At 42.4% G+C, this 15277-nt stretch overlaps 1 long non-coding RNA gene and 1 other non-coding gene across 2 annotated transcripts in view; both read right to left on the bottom strand.

Annotated features, from left to right (window-relative positions):
- Positions 1–15277, bottom strand: part of MIR3681HG (MIR3681 host gene) — a 571233-nt gene that overhangs the window by 367435 nt on the left and 188521 nt on the right. The gene's annotated exons all lie outside the window — the stretch shown is intronic.
- On the bottom strand, positions 11713–11784 carry MIR3681 (microRNA 3681). The gene has a single exon (NR_037452.1). It is a non-coding gene; the product is annotated as a microRNA 3681 (primary transcript).

The raw sequence follows: 15277 nt of genomic DNA, 5'->3' as shown, positions 1-15277 counted from the left end.
GAAAAGAATGCTAGCTGGGCTTGTGGGCCTGACCTCCTCCAGGTTCCTAAGGATGTTAATTTAGAACAAAGAATGTTAGAGTTCAGTCTCCAGTTCCCCCTTATCTGAGGTCTATGAGGCAGCAGATTTGTTTGCCGGGGGGCGGGGTGGGTCCCAGTTTCTGAAAAAAAACTCAGGGACATTCGCTAATGTTAGCAGTGGAGCGTATCCCAGTCACGTGGCACCAAAGAATGTTAGTGGCGGCGAATCCTACGGGTCTGCAGCAACCTCAGTTCTTGCCTCCTAAGAAGAAAGCATTTAACCGAGGAACATAAGGCAGAGGGAGACTAAGGCAAGATTTAGAGCAGGAGTGAAAGTTTATTAAAAAGCCTTAGAGCTGGAACAGAAAGAAGGAAAGTGTACTTGGAAGAGGCCCAGGCGGGTGACTTGAGAGATCAAGTGCAGGGTTTGACCTTTGACTTGCATAGGGTTTTATATGTTGGCTTGCTGGGGACTTGCGTCCCTTCTCCCCTGATTCTTCCCTTGAAGCGGGCTGCCCGCATGTACAGTGGCCTGCCAGCACTTGGGAGGGGCCGCATGTGCAGTGTTTACTGGAGCTGTACACATGCTCATTTGAGGCATTCTCCCCTTACCAATGTCCCTAGAAGGCGGTCTTCCCTTACAATGTCCCTAGAAGGTCATATATCAGTTAAATGCTGCCATTTTGCCTCTTAGTGCTCATGCTCAAGCCCACTTACCCACCTCCTGAGATCTTATCAGAAAGCTGATCACCAGCTTCAGGTTTTTCTGTCTGTTGAGAGACTGCCTTTCCTTGGTGCTGGCTGCAACCAATTATTATTTTAGAGGGAGAGCTTAACAACTTCCTGACCATCACCTAATGTTTGCTGGACGTTCCTGGTGGGAGTCGGGGGAGCTCTCTCCCAACCTCTCATGTCCGACCAGCTACTTACTGTGACATTTAGAGGTTATCTTTAGTTTCCACAGGGGAATCAAATATCTCTGACTATAACTTCCTTGCTTATTGTTTTAAGCTTCTATTACCTTCTTGCTTATCAAGATATTTGTAGGGAAAACTCTAACTTTTTCCTCCATCTCATACCACCAGAACAACCATCATCAACACAGAAGACTTCTGTGACCAAATGTGTGGGAGTTTTCCCCACTCACCAAGCTGCAGACACCAACTGGGTGTCCTCCAATTCAGTTCCCATACTCTACCTGGAGATAGTGTCAGATCCCACAGGTTGGGCTCTCAGTCCCCAAGACTAACCCCTGACACACAAACCAGTTGCAAGTGCCGGCCTCCAGAACTTGCTTCTGATCAACTGGCTTCAAGTTAAGGTTCCCAGGACCCCCTCTTTGGATTCAATTGATTTGCTAGAGTGCCTCACAGAACTCAGGGCAACACACTATAAAGCATATTACAAAGGAGACAGATGAAGAAATGCGTAGGGCGAGGTATAGGAAACAGGGTATGGAGCTTCCATGCCCTCCCCGGGTGCTGCCCTCCAGGGACTTCCAGGTGTTCAGCTGTCCTGAAGCTCTCTGAACCCAATGCTCTTGGGTTTTTATGGAAGCTTTGTCACATCGGCATTCCTTCCTCCAGAATATAGGGCAGGACCTTCTCTGCAGAGGGTCTTAATACCCACAATTAGAAAGGTAGAGGATGATTAGAGTCCTGCCTTGGTACAGGTGAAAGGAATGCAGGAGAAAGCCAGAGAGATTCTGTTTCCTAAGGCCTAACACCCACCATTATAATAAAAGACTGTAACAACAGCAATGGGAGTTATGAGCCAGGAACCGTGGACGAAAACCAACATATATCATAACACCACAAGTTACTTATTTGCTTCTCAAGACTAGCTAGGTTTCTGAAATTACCCTTGAAGGAACTTAAGAATTTCCTTAATTTTTATGCTTGGGGCAGGGGGAGAGGGGTGCACAGGCTCCTAAGAGGGGGTTCTTGCTCCGTCTCCTAGGTTCTTCCTTTCCACATTCACAGCTACTTCTGGAATCAGAGGTCAATGGGACTTGGATCTGAAGAACTATAAAGCCTGAGGCAGATTCCCCAGCTGATGTCTGGTCTGCATATTAGATCATCTTCCTATGGCAACATTTTCACTGTCTCCTTTCCTCTCTAGAAATGTGCTGGCTCTACTTTGCCTCAGGTACTCAACTAGGTTTTCTAGGCTAGGTTCAGTACATTCTCTTCCTACTCAACTCCAGACCTCAACTCATGGTCACAAACCTGGGAGACTAACCAACATAACCTTGAACAAATACTTAACGTCTCTGAGCTCAAGTTCTTACCCCCATAAAGTAAGGATGCTAAATATGATGACCTCATATTCTTGCTGAATCATTAGGATTCATAATAGAAATCAGCAGCTAAGCTAAGACATAGATCCAATTGACAATCTGATCACTAGTGGTGCATCTGAATATATTGTTCTGGATGTTTTTACTTTTTTGAAAGTGGAAAAATTTAAATACATATGCAAGTAGAGAGAATGGATTAATTAATGGACTAACTCCACCACTTCCATTTTTTCTTCGATTATTTGAAAGTAAATACCAAGCCATATCACCAGTGTCATATCACCTATAATAATTAAATATGTATAATTAAGAGACAAGATATTTTAAAAACATAACTACAATACTGTCATCACACCTAAAAATATTTACTTAATATTATCAATTATCCAATCTTGCTTAACTCTCAGGGTATTTTTATTGTTACATTGAATGGAAATCTGCTTTGACAATAATGTGCCACCCACACTGAAACTAAATCTATGCCACACCAGAAAACTCAGTTAATTCATCCACTTAATAGTGTAAATATCAATGTTTTAGAGTCTGTAGTCTTTCAACGTCCCACTGCTAAAAAAGCAAAGGCCCCAGAGTTTCAAAGAAGCTCTATGACTCCCGGAATAACCCATTAAAAGGGTTCCATGGCTACTTTTTGTTTGGTTTGTTGGTTTCTTTTTAAGAAACAAATATTATCAGAAGTTATAGAGCCAAGCCAAGACCAACAGAAACAAGTGATACTAATTGAAATAATTTCAGAGGCCTACTTGGTGCTAAAATTCTGTGATTTTAATGGAGATAGAGATTGAAGAAGAATAAAGCCAGTCCAAATTAGGGAAAAGGATGAATTAGAGGATGCTTTCTAAAACAAGTCATACATTGGCTTTCCCAGGGGCTGAATCAAGCCACAGACACGTCTTATTTGACTCAGTCACTTGATTCTTTCAATCATTCATACAGGAAATACTTCTTATAAGTTCTAATGATACAGCAGTGAATAAAATAAACCAAATGACTGCCTCATGGAGCTTGCATTCTTATATAATTTGAATGCACAAGGTGGCTCATGGATGCCTTAATGCTTTGCTTTCATTCTTCCTTTGTCTTTTAATTAAGAAGGTCTTTAGGGAAGGTATGCCTTCCTCGGCTGGACCATGGGCCACATGGCCACATAAACCTTTCTTGTTTTTCACCCTGGCCACCATATATGTGTGAGTGTGTGTATATATATAATATATGTGTGTGTATATATATACACACACACACACACATATACATATATATGCATTATATATACACACAGCATTTCAGTTTGTAGTACTCTGCTGTAGAGTTATTTTGCCTTCAGTTAGATAGAAGAATAATACTACAATTCATCATTAACAATTTTTTAGAACGACTTTTCTATCCAACATGTAATGACTGAACTTCTAATTTATGTAAGATACTAGGCCTGAAGCCAGTAATAGAGAGAGTACTAAGTCCTGCCCCATGATATCCTGGAGCTCTGGATCTAATGGGGAGACAGGCCCATAAACACAGCTTACTAATTGTGTTAGGCCGTTCTTGCATTGCTGTAAAGAAATACCTGAGGCTGGGTAATTGATAAAGTAAAGGTGTTTAATTGGCTCACAGTTCTGCAGGCTGTAGAGGAGGCATGAAGCCAGCATCTGCCCAGCTTCTAGGGAGGCCTCAGGGAGCTTCCAATCATGGCAGAAGATGAAGCAGGAGCAGGCATGTCACATGGTGAAAGCAGCAGCAAGAGAGAAAGAGTGCTGGGGAGTAGGTGCCACACACTTTTAAATGACCAGATCTCATGAGAACTCACTGTCGTAAAGACAGCACCAAGCCATGAGGAATCCACCCCCATGATCCAAAAAAACACCTCCCACCAGGTTCCACCTCCAGCAATGAGGATTACAATTCACATGAGATTTGGGTGGCAACAAATCATAGACAAACTATGTCACTAACGTCATGTGACAACCTCTGCATTAGAAGTGCAGAAAGTAATGGGAGAAGGTGGAGGTTAATGTTTCCCAATACATGGAGGAAAAGGGTCAAGGCAGCTTACAGAAAGTACACATGTATCCCAGGGCAGCGCAAGAGATGGATATTATATTTATAGGTTTATTATGAATAATTTAAAAGTGCACTTGATAAAAGTGAACTACCTTTCAGCAGACCTGTTTCCACAACTACATCAAGTCCTTGCTTTTTCCATAAGATGGTGCAAATGTAATTTCTAGATCTACTTTACTTCAGATAATTACAAATTATAAATTAACAAGACCTAAACTTAAGATGTTTTTTCTTCAGGTCATTAATGTTCACTGGTGTCAAATGACTATTTCTTCAAAAGGATAAGGAGCATTGCAAATACTATAGTATTATATATATGCTGATAACTTTTAATTGGAGCCAAGATACAATTTCTCCTCCTAAAGATGCTTTGGCTTTACTTTTTAGCAAATATAAAAGGATCCTTGGCTGGGCACTGTGGCTCACACCTGTAATCCCAACACTTTGGGAGGCTGAGGCAGTCAGATCACGAGGTCAGGAGACGGAGACCATCCTGGCCAACATGGTGAAACCCAGTCTCTACTAAAAATACAAAATTTAGCTGGGCATGGTGGTGCGTGCCTGTAGTCCCAGCTACTCAGGAGGCTGAGGCAGGAGAATCACTTGAACCTGGGAAGCGGAGGTTGCAGTGAGCCGAGATCGCACCACTGCACTCCAGCCTGGCAACAGAGCAAGACTCTGTCTCAAAAAAAAAAAAAAAAAAAAAAAGAAAAAGAAAAAGGGGGATCCTCATAGTAGAATGAATATCACAAAATATTAGAGCTGAATAGATTCCTGAAGGGGTAAGTTCAGTCTCCTGCTTCCAGATGAGACAATTCTTAAAGCATCCAGGAGAGCTGTAGATATTTGAGGACATTCCAGGACATCAGTCTCAACATCATCCTCCCCTATGGCCTCTGCAGGATTTAATCAGAGCTGATGATGAGATTCATCCTCCCCTTACTGACCACACACACTGGCTCCAATGCAACAGCATTCATTCCTCTTCCACCCTCTCTAGAGAAAAAAAAAATTGGACAGTATCTGTATTAGTCCATTCTCAATTGTTATAAAGAACTACTTGAGATTGGGTAATTTATAAAGAAAAGAGGTTTAATTGGCTCACAGTTCTGTAGGTTGTACAGGAAACATGACTGGAGAGGCCTCAGGAAACTTACAATCATGGCAAAAGGGGAAGGGGAAGCAGGCACGTCCTACATGGCTGGAGGAGGAGGAAGAGAGCAAAGGGGAAGATGCTACACACTTTTACACAACCAGATCTTATGAGAACTCACTCACTATCGTGAGAACAGCAAGGGGGAAGTTCACCCCCATGATCGAATCACCTCCCACCAGACCCATCCTCCAACACTGGGAATTACAATTCAACATGAGATTTGGATGGGGACATGGAGCCAAACCATATCAATATCCTCCCCAAGGAACACCTTACATGTTTGAAACCAGTTGCTTCCTATGGCTTTATGATGGAAAACATCTAAATGTAACTATGAACTTGAGTCTTAAACATTCCAATTAGCTGGCTTTCAGTCCTTTTGCCTCTTGGACCATTATTCACTATGTGATCCCTACTCCCTAAGGCTTAGCAGAAACCCTCCCTTCTTCACCTAATGTAGCTCTCTTGTCACATCTCCATGGATCTGCTGCAATGCCTACGCATTCTCTTTTGAAACAGGAAAGGGAATTTGGTCCTTTTATTCTAATAATTGCTAGATGAATATTTGAACAACCTAGATATAAACTCACACTAACTAGGAAGTTAGACAATTTGACTGGGAGAAACATTTGTTCATCCTTTTGAGATAGATAATGCTGGTTGCTCAGAATGGCTGCAAAGAAGTACGTCCATTAACTGGGAAACTCAAACCTCTATCCATCGACCCAACGCATCTCCAGTTTCTATGGTTCCACTCCTGCCATATCAGATATCCAACTCTTCCTCCCTAGTTTTACTCTCACTCACCTAGGCTGCACTTTCCTCGCCTTGCACCTGCACAGTTGCCACCAAAGATCCCGCCTCTGCTTCATTCTCTCCACTGAAACTGGAGCAATCTGTTGGAAATCCAAATCTGACTATGCCATTCCCCTGTTTAAAATTAGTCCATTGTTCCATATGCAAACTTCTCAGCACCGCACGTGGGATTCTTCAAGATGCGGCCTATTTCCATTTCGGGCTCACCTCCCAACACCTCTGTGATTTAAACCCCAGGGAAGCCAACCTACTTAGGTTCTCCAAACCCACGCTGGGATTTACACATCCTCCCTTTCCACACCCTCCACAGAACCCCTCCATGCCTTTCTTCTCTCCACTTTCCTTGGGGTTTGGCCGGTCCCCTCCAACCTAGGAAAACAGTAGAAGGTCACGTTCTTCTTACATTCTCACATTACAAAGCAAGATCCCCATCCTTCAGCCCCTCCCACACCCAGGTTCCCATTAACTCCCCTACTTCATGTGAGATGAGAAACAAGTGCTCCAAGGTTTTCTGCTCAGCTGCATTTCCAGCCCCCACGCTTTTCCCTTATGCAGGCAATACACTACCCAGAAAACAGAATAAAAGAACAACACAGAGGATAAGTTGCAACGGTTAAAATATCTCATAACGTTCAGTGTCCACAAACTCAGATCCACCATCTCTCCATCCCATGCAGTGTGGCCTCTCTGCGATCCTGGCATCCTCATTGTACTTCTGGCCAGCCTCTCCCTCTGCAATTCTGGCCTGATCCTCTGTGGTTCTGATGGGACTTTTGCTCTGAGATCCTGGCCTCTCTCTCTCTGTGATCCTGGCCTGACTCTCTGTGATCCTTATCAGCCTTCATATAACAGGGAGCAAGCTGCTTTGTCTCTCATGAGAGTTCTCATGCCTAACTCTCATGTGACCTCAAAGAGAAAAGAGCTTTGTCTTCTCTGTCCAACATTGCCCCCCACCATCCTATTCCAGCAGGATTGATAATGGAAATATCTACTTCCTCTTTGGGGGAACCCCATTATCACCCACAAGAATGTGGTCCTGAATTATAGTCCAAAAAGGAAAATAAAATTTCATCGGAGCAAAATGTTTGAACTCCAGTACATTTGAGGTTACTTAGTCTTGAATACTGTGAGCAGGACATCAACCGTGCAGCAGGAAAAACTCTGATTCTGTCCTTTTACATGGTCTCCAGCTAGAAGTAAATGGAAAGCAGCCATGCATGCTTCGCCTTTAGCCATGTGGCTCCTGGTACTCAGGCTCCGATAAGCAAATGCATGAACAAAAACATGCAGAGGCTTACTCTCTCCAAGAGCAAATCAAAATTGACCTGAATTCTGATGCATACATTGAGGAGCTAGGTTTACAGTTTGCAAATTCTGTGTGTTTTTAGGGAACTTTATTCTCTGCAAACTTCATTGCAACTTTTGGAATATTTCTTTTTCCTGTGTTAGGGTTCAAGATGATTTTAGTTTTCCTGAGAATAGGCGGCATTTGCTTTGCATTTGTAGAACAGATAGATTCATGGTGCTCAGGGGAAAATCTTCTCTCCTCCCAGTAAAGCTGTGAGCACTCTGGCCTTTGGACATTCTCCAGCCTCTCCTCCTGCTGCTGTCTGCTTTGCTATCCTCACACTTCAGCACCAGGGGCCTCCTTTCCATTGTTGAAGAAGGCCAAGAACCTAAAGTGATTCTCGGCACTAGCGCCTTCACACATGCTATTCCATCTGTCTGGACAACGATCTCTCTCCGTCCTACCATTCATTTTTGAGTCTCCCAAACTCCTCCTATCCTTCAAGCACCTCCAGGTGACCTTCTGAGGACTCCCCTCCAGCATCCCCAAGCAATGTCAGGACCACCTCTGGCCTTTGCAATGTTTACATCTGAGTTGATAAACAGGATCGGGCTTCCTACTTACTAACTATACACACTGGCTCCGATGTAAAACCATTCGCTCCTCTTCTATCCTCCCAAGAGAGAGAAAATTGAACAGCATCCTCCCCCAGAAATTCTTTACATATTTGAAACCAGTTGTTTTCCTTGCACCATTCTTACGTAAGTCTGTGTTTCTTTACAGCACAGGCAACGCTTGTCTTTCCAAACAGATTCCTGAGCTCCAGGGCTGCAGGAGCCACATTCTTCTCCTTTGCCTACCTTCAGTGCCCGGCCAAGTTCGCTTAATTAATATCTTTGAATGAAACAAAGACTTAATCTGGCCCAGATTTAAATTCTGAATTATTTGGTAGATTAAACACACACACACACACACACACACACACACACAAACACAGATATAGAGAGAGATTTGTAAGCTATGAAATGGCAGGTTTTACCTTCTTCTAAGTGAACATATATTAAGTACACGTGAGGATTCTTTTCAGCCACAGAGCATTCTGTTACACTTAATTCACAGATGTAGTCTCCCTCTCAGTCTCCAGCCGAAAGGGACACAGATATTTCAGTAAGTATTTCTGTCATTTCGGCTGCCTGCCTCTCTCCCCAGCAACCCACACACTCCCTCTACTCTACAGTCGAATCTCACCTGCGTTTGACCTGCTCCATGAAGCCCCCTGTTCCATTCAACCACATGTGCCCCCATCCTGGCTTGGACTTAAATTCCATAAACATTTTCTTTAAGGATATCGTCACACTCCACCATGCATTATCATCATCTACATAATTGTCTTATTTTTTTCTTACTCATCAGCTTGTGAAGTTGTACTGTGACACTTGAGACCGTGGGCAATGGATAGCTTAAGAGAGGCATGATCTCTTAGAAGACAACAAACAGATCTGGAGTAGGACCAACTTCACTTCGTCTGAAACAGACTCACGGTATAACCTTAAAAAATGCTGTGAGCCTGCGCAGAGCTCGACTTCTTTACCCATAAATTCAGACTTTTCTGATCTACCTCATGGGACTGTGAAGGTTAAATGCAACGTTGGTTGTCATGTGCAGGGTCACCATGAGCTCAAACACGGCTCTCCTGCTATTCTTGTTAACATTGGCAGGCAGAAGGGGAAGTTCAGGAAGATTGCTTCCTTTTTCTTGTTACTGGATGATAGTCATCTATGACTTGACTTTTGCAAAGATTTCTCTCCTTTGAAGATAAAGAAACTCTGTCCCCACACCACAATTTCCATTTTCAAAAACTGAAATTGTGGCTCAATTAGAATGTGATCATCACTACTTATACTCAAAAACTTATCGCTGCTACTAGTATAAAATAATAATTCCTCAAATGTGAACACCAGGCCATATCACTGTTTGCTGTTTATGGGGAACTTGACTCTACCCATTTAAGTAAGTGGTGCTTGAGACAATCTGCTAAGGACAAGGGGTCCTGTGATTTTTGCCTGGGACTCTCTTGCCATAATTCAGTCGGTAGATCTAGGCCATTGGAAAAGCCACCAATGTTTGTTTGGGGGATGACAAAAGATTGATGAACAACTTGTGATTACAACTTCTGTATCCTAATCAGAAATTCTCTTGTGTTTTTTTTTTTTTTTTTCTTACAATAAATTTTCTAATCTGAACATGCTGAAAATTTGCCTTTATATTTCCTGGATGGAAATAGTGCACAATCCTTATGCCTCTTTGTGTAACCTCTAGACCCTTCTTGTCTTATCCACTATGAACCAAAGAGCTATTTCTGGGACCCTTTACTCATCCTTCTCTGTTCTCTCTGCTTGGAATTCCATTCCAGGTTCAACACAAATATATCTTTGACATGAAGAGATACCTAATCTTTGCCTTGCCCATTTTAAACCAATAGAATTAAAAATAAATTAATAAAATAAGTTATTCTATCATCAGATATATGTATATCTAGTCTCATAAAATTGTATGTGTGTTTTACAATATTTAGTCCCTGTTTTACTAAAAATATTTGTGGACCCAGCTTGCCTTCCTCATGTCACTAAAAATATATATATTGAGTACCCACTATTCCCCTAAAATATTTACCAAGCACCTTCTAAGAGGCCTTTTAGTAGATATCCAGTAAATATTTTTAAATGAATGAATGTTTAGCTACACCATCCAATACGGTAGCCACTAGCCACATTTAACTACTCAAATTTAAATTAACTGAAATCATATACAATAAAAAATTCATCTTGTACCCCCATTTCAAGTGCTCAGTAGTCACAAATGGCTAGCGACTACAGTATCAGAAAGTGCTGTTATGGGACCCTTCATCACAGCAGAAAGCTCTACTGGGCAGTTCTGAATTCAATACATGAATGAATAAATGCCTGAAAGAATGAATGAACAATCCATCAGGAGGCTCCCAAGCCACCCCCTCTGCAAACTCTCTGACTTCAAGGATGGATTAAACTACATAATATTAACATTTCACCTAATTTAGAGATCAGCTTCCACTTAGGGAAGTGTCACAGCTTGGATTATTTAAAAGGAGCTCAGGAAAGCAGTGAGCACATCCTGCAGGCATGGCTGCTGCTGTTCCACAGACCCATCAGCCACATTATGACAGGAGCGCTTTCCAGCTCCAATTTGTCTAATTCTCATCTGTTATATTAACAAAGAATGCCTGGCCAGAACATGTCACTCAGCTCCACAAAGAGCTATTTCCGTCTTCTGTCTTCTTCCAGAACTGCAAAGATTGATTTTAGGAAGATAATCATTTTTGTGTATTTCTGCACACAGGCTGGCTGCAGCTGTTCCCAAATGCAACATCAATACATGTTTTATGAGTCAGTTTTTTGTGGGGTTTTTTTGGTTTTTGTTTTTTTTTTTTTTTTTTTTTTTTTTGGTAACGTGTGAAGCTAATCATGTTGAGTACGACATAAAAAGCATTTGCCTTGAAATCTCAAGCGCTGTGTCCCATCACTCAATCTTGCTGTGAGCACAGATTTCCTTGAAATGTTTCTGGTCGGGACTGAATGTGTTGAATCTCAATTTTGTATTTCAGCTCCATTCTACGATACAGCAGGGTGAGAACGTGAGTAGCCTTCACAGTTGGGCTTCTGTCTTAGCCTGAGCCATTGAGACAAAAAAACCTAAGACTTTATTTGGGATGTGCAAACCCAGGAAAGAGAGGAAGAAGTGAAGTAAAGGCAAAGAAATCTGGGATGCCAGGTGAAGTGATGCATCACCTTGCTGCTCCTTCCCCACAAGCCTTGAAGTTACAACTGGCAGCCCTAGGCTTGTCCAGGAAAATTACAACGAATATCTCTGTCTTGGGGTAGCACATGGGAGAAACACAGGAGGGGGAATAACCCAGCTAGCTCCTTCCTATTTCCTGTTTCCATTGATCCATTTGCCACTTGGACAGTTAACACCCTCAGAATTCCAGGTTGCACTGGACTCCTGAACAGTAGCTCATGACACTTCCAGTAGTGGATGAAGCACTGTGTGCACAGTTGGCCCTGCACAGAGTGCATCATCCACTACTGGAAGTAGACAAGTGTCTCCTTGAAGATGGGCTTGGTGTGCAGGGCTTGTGAGCCAGGCAGGCTGGGGACTTCCAGCCATCTCGTGGACGTCCCATCAGAGGTTGTTGGTAAGCAGGTCTGGGAGGCAGGCTGTGCTTTAGAGGGAAGGAGACAGTCAGATAGTGAAGGGAACCCAAAGGGGCACAGGATTTCTTCATCCAGTACAGCTTCTCTGCTCGCATGCTTACAGGATTCATCTTCCGTGGCAGGAATTGTTATTTTTAAAAGGAAAATTATGTTCCTCTCCAGGCTCTTTAAAGTATGCTATCCTGATAGAAAAGGCCTTACAGGTAAGCAAATCCTAGTCCTCCAATGTTGCATGTATAAAAATTAATATTAAATAATTGGTGTATGATAGACTAGAGATGTTAAATACCTCGCTTACTAGAAGTAAGTGCCCCCTCCAGCCAACCAGGAAAAGGAGCTCAAATGTTCTAATGCTTCTGTTGCCTCTCTGTACAACAGATAAATCATGTTTATGCAGTGATTGGCGAAGGAAATGAGCATGCAGCAGTGACGCCTGATGCTGAAAGGTGTCACTGGGGTTGCTCCTAAGGAGTCTGAGAGCCTCCCAGGAGCTGGGGTCCACTCAAACCTGGAGGCTCTTCATGCAGCATGCTGAGAGCTCTAGATAATCTCCAGGTAGGTGAGGCCCAGGGAATGTGGGGAGAAGAAATAATGGAGAATCTCACTTTCTAGAACCTGGAGTCAGGTGCCTCAGATAACTCCGAGGGTCAGGAAGATGAAGCTCAGTGTGTGCAGGGAAAAGAGGCCTGCATTCAGATGGGGGAAGTGTAGGAGCATTGTGCATTGTGGGGACGGCACCAGGGGACCCCAAAAACTATAAGCTTCAGTAGTTTGAGGACAATTTAATGAAGGGCCAATGGTATCCATCATGTTAAAGAGGTAAGAGGAGCACTAAGGTTGTTTAACAGAACATGGATGTGATCACATTTGTTTTGTCATTCTAGTTGCTGTGTAGAAAATGGAACTGGAGAGGATTTTCTAGAAGGAAAGAAACAAGTTTACAGGGAGTTGCTATGGACCAAGTGCGGAGTAATAAGGGTCTTCATATTTGAGAAGCTCGTCTTACTCATCTGTAAAATCATATTAATATGTGCCTCAGAGTGAAATTAAAAAATTAATTATTCAATGTCTTTATAGTTCTCCATCCACAGTAGTTTTGTTGACCAGACTTAAGTTGGCGCCCATGATGTGCTCCTCCTGGAGTCATGCTGCTGTAGAACTCACACACTTGACTGTGGGTGGGACGTTCGACTTGCTTCTAACCAATGGAATACAGCGAAAGGAACAGATTTCACTTCCTTCACAATGTTGTATAAGATTGTAATGACTATCACACCGAAAAACTCTCTTTCCTCTTGGTTTTGAGAAAACAAGCTGTCATGTTGTGCACTGCCCTATGGACAGTTATGTGGCAAAAAATTGAGGACAACTGGCAAGAAACTGAGGCCCTCAGTTCAGCAGCCTGTAAGGATTTCAATGCTACTAGTAACCATCTAAGCCTATAAGTGTATCCTTCCCCAGTTGAGCCTCAGATGAGTACTCAGTTCTTACTGACACCTAGTTTGCAACCTTAAAAAGGGCCCAACTAACGCATGCCCAGACTCCTAATCCACAGAAACTCTGAGATAATAAATGTGTGTGGCTTCCAGCTTCCAGGTTTGTGGTAATACTGTCATGTAGCAGTAGATAGCAGTTTCCCCACAAACTTAGTTCCCTCACTTTGCACTACCTACCCTGTCACAGCACTGAAATGCTAAGTGTGAGCAATACTACTAAAACCATTCATTTCCTGCCTCTCTCTTTAAGTATACTGATATGGTTTGGCTGTATCCCCACCCAAATCTCATCTTGAATTGTAGCTCCCAAAATTCCCATGTGTCCTGGGAAGAACCCAGTGGGAGGTAATCAAATCCTGGGGGCAGGTCTTTTCTGTGCTGTTCTCAGGATAATGAATAAGCCTTATGAGATCTGATGTTCTTATAAAGCAAAGTTCCCCCCGTACAAGTTCTCTCTTTCCTGCCACCATGTAAGATGTGACTTGCTCCTCCTTCCCTCCACCATGATTGTGATGATTCCCTCCAGCCGTGCGGAACTGTGAATCCATTAAACCTCTTTTCTTTATAATTCACCCAGTCTTGGGTATGTCTTTATCAGCAGCATAAAAATGGACTAACACACCTACCTATAAAAGATGTTTAAGCTTCCAAAGAATTTTAAAAGGTCGGGGAATTTTAGGGGAAGGGGGTAAAAAACACTAAACTTCATTTATAAACAGCACAGTAGGCACTGGTCTACCCCTTAGTTATACCCAGTGACAAGCATCAGTATCCACTGCCTAGGCTGTGAGTAATTACTGAAGTACATCTGCTCTCTGTGTCTAAGTTTCACCTCATTTTTACTAGTGACCTTTGCCTCTAGCATTTTTGCTTTGGCAAGTTCTCAGCCTCACTAATGTCCCAGTTCTTTTCTCAGGGCTCACACACAAACCACTTCCATTGCTCAGTTATATTTTTACTGCTATCTTGCAAGCACACAAAAATTGTTCAAGGAAGCTGGACTTCCTTGTGTATTCTCATCCAAACGCCTTCTGCTTGACTACTGTGTGTGTGTGGTGGGGGTAGGAGGGACATTACTGTCCTTCTTTTACCCAGAAGATAGGGTCCTGTCTGAATGACTTGCTTCCAGCACTGGATTTAATTTTTTTCCCTTATATCTCACTTTCAAATATCTCCTGAACTATAAAGGCTGGAAATAAATGTTGTCTTTTTCTGGCAACATCGCCCACCTGGGAATAAGAAACCATTTCATGCTCACTAGACAAAGTTTGTGCCTATGTTTTGTATATTCAAGATGGGGTGATATTTTCTGGGTTGCTGATTGTTTTCATTTTATACAACACAACCATTTAATTAGCTATAGTTTATCATGTCTACTTGGGAACGGAATAAAAATCAAAATTTCAAGTGAAGACTACAGCTGCCACCCTAGGAAAGATAAAGTAAATCATAGTTACAATTAATCAAGGGTCTCAGAAAGTGCTGGGTATTTAGCAGGTCATATTGTATTTGACTCTTACTGAACTCTACAAGATGGGTTCTGCAATAATCCCATTTTACAAATAAAGAGGATATTTAGGCTTTTGTGAACCTCCACTGGTCAAGGCAGAGCTGCTTCAAGTTGGCTTCAAATATCAAGCTCTTGCTCTGCAGAAAGAGGTGACTTGGACTCTCAAAGAGACACTGAGCCCCATACAAACTGCATTCTCAATACATTCTAGAGTTGTTTCTGTTCTTTCTTCCAATCCAAATGTAGCACTTTTTCCTCATGTAGTTTAACTATCTAATCACACAAAAATGTTATCAAAATTGAAGGCTGTGTTTTTGCTTCAAGATATTTTAAAATCGTAGTGAAAATTGGTTTTTTGTAAATCTT

The sequence above is a fragment of the Homo sapiens genome, chromosome 2 (genome assembly GCF_000001405.40).
Source record: "Homo sapiens chromosome 2, GRCh38.p14 Primary Assembly".
Lineage (NCBI taxonomy): Eukaryota > Metazoa > Chordata > Mammalia > Primates > Hominidae > Homo > Homo sapiens.
This window is presented reverse-complemented; position numbering and strand designations above follow the sequence as displayed.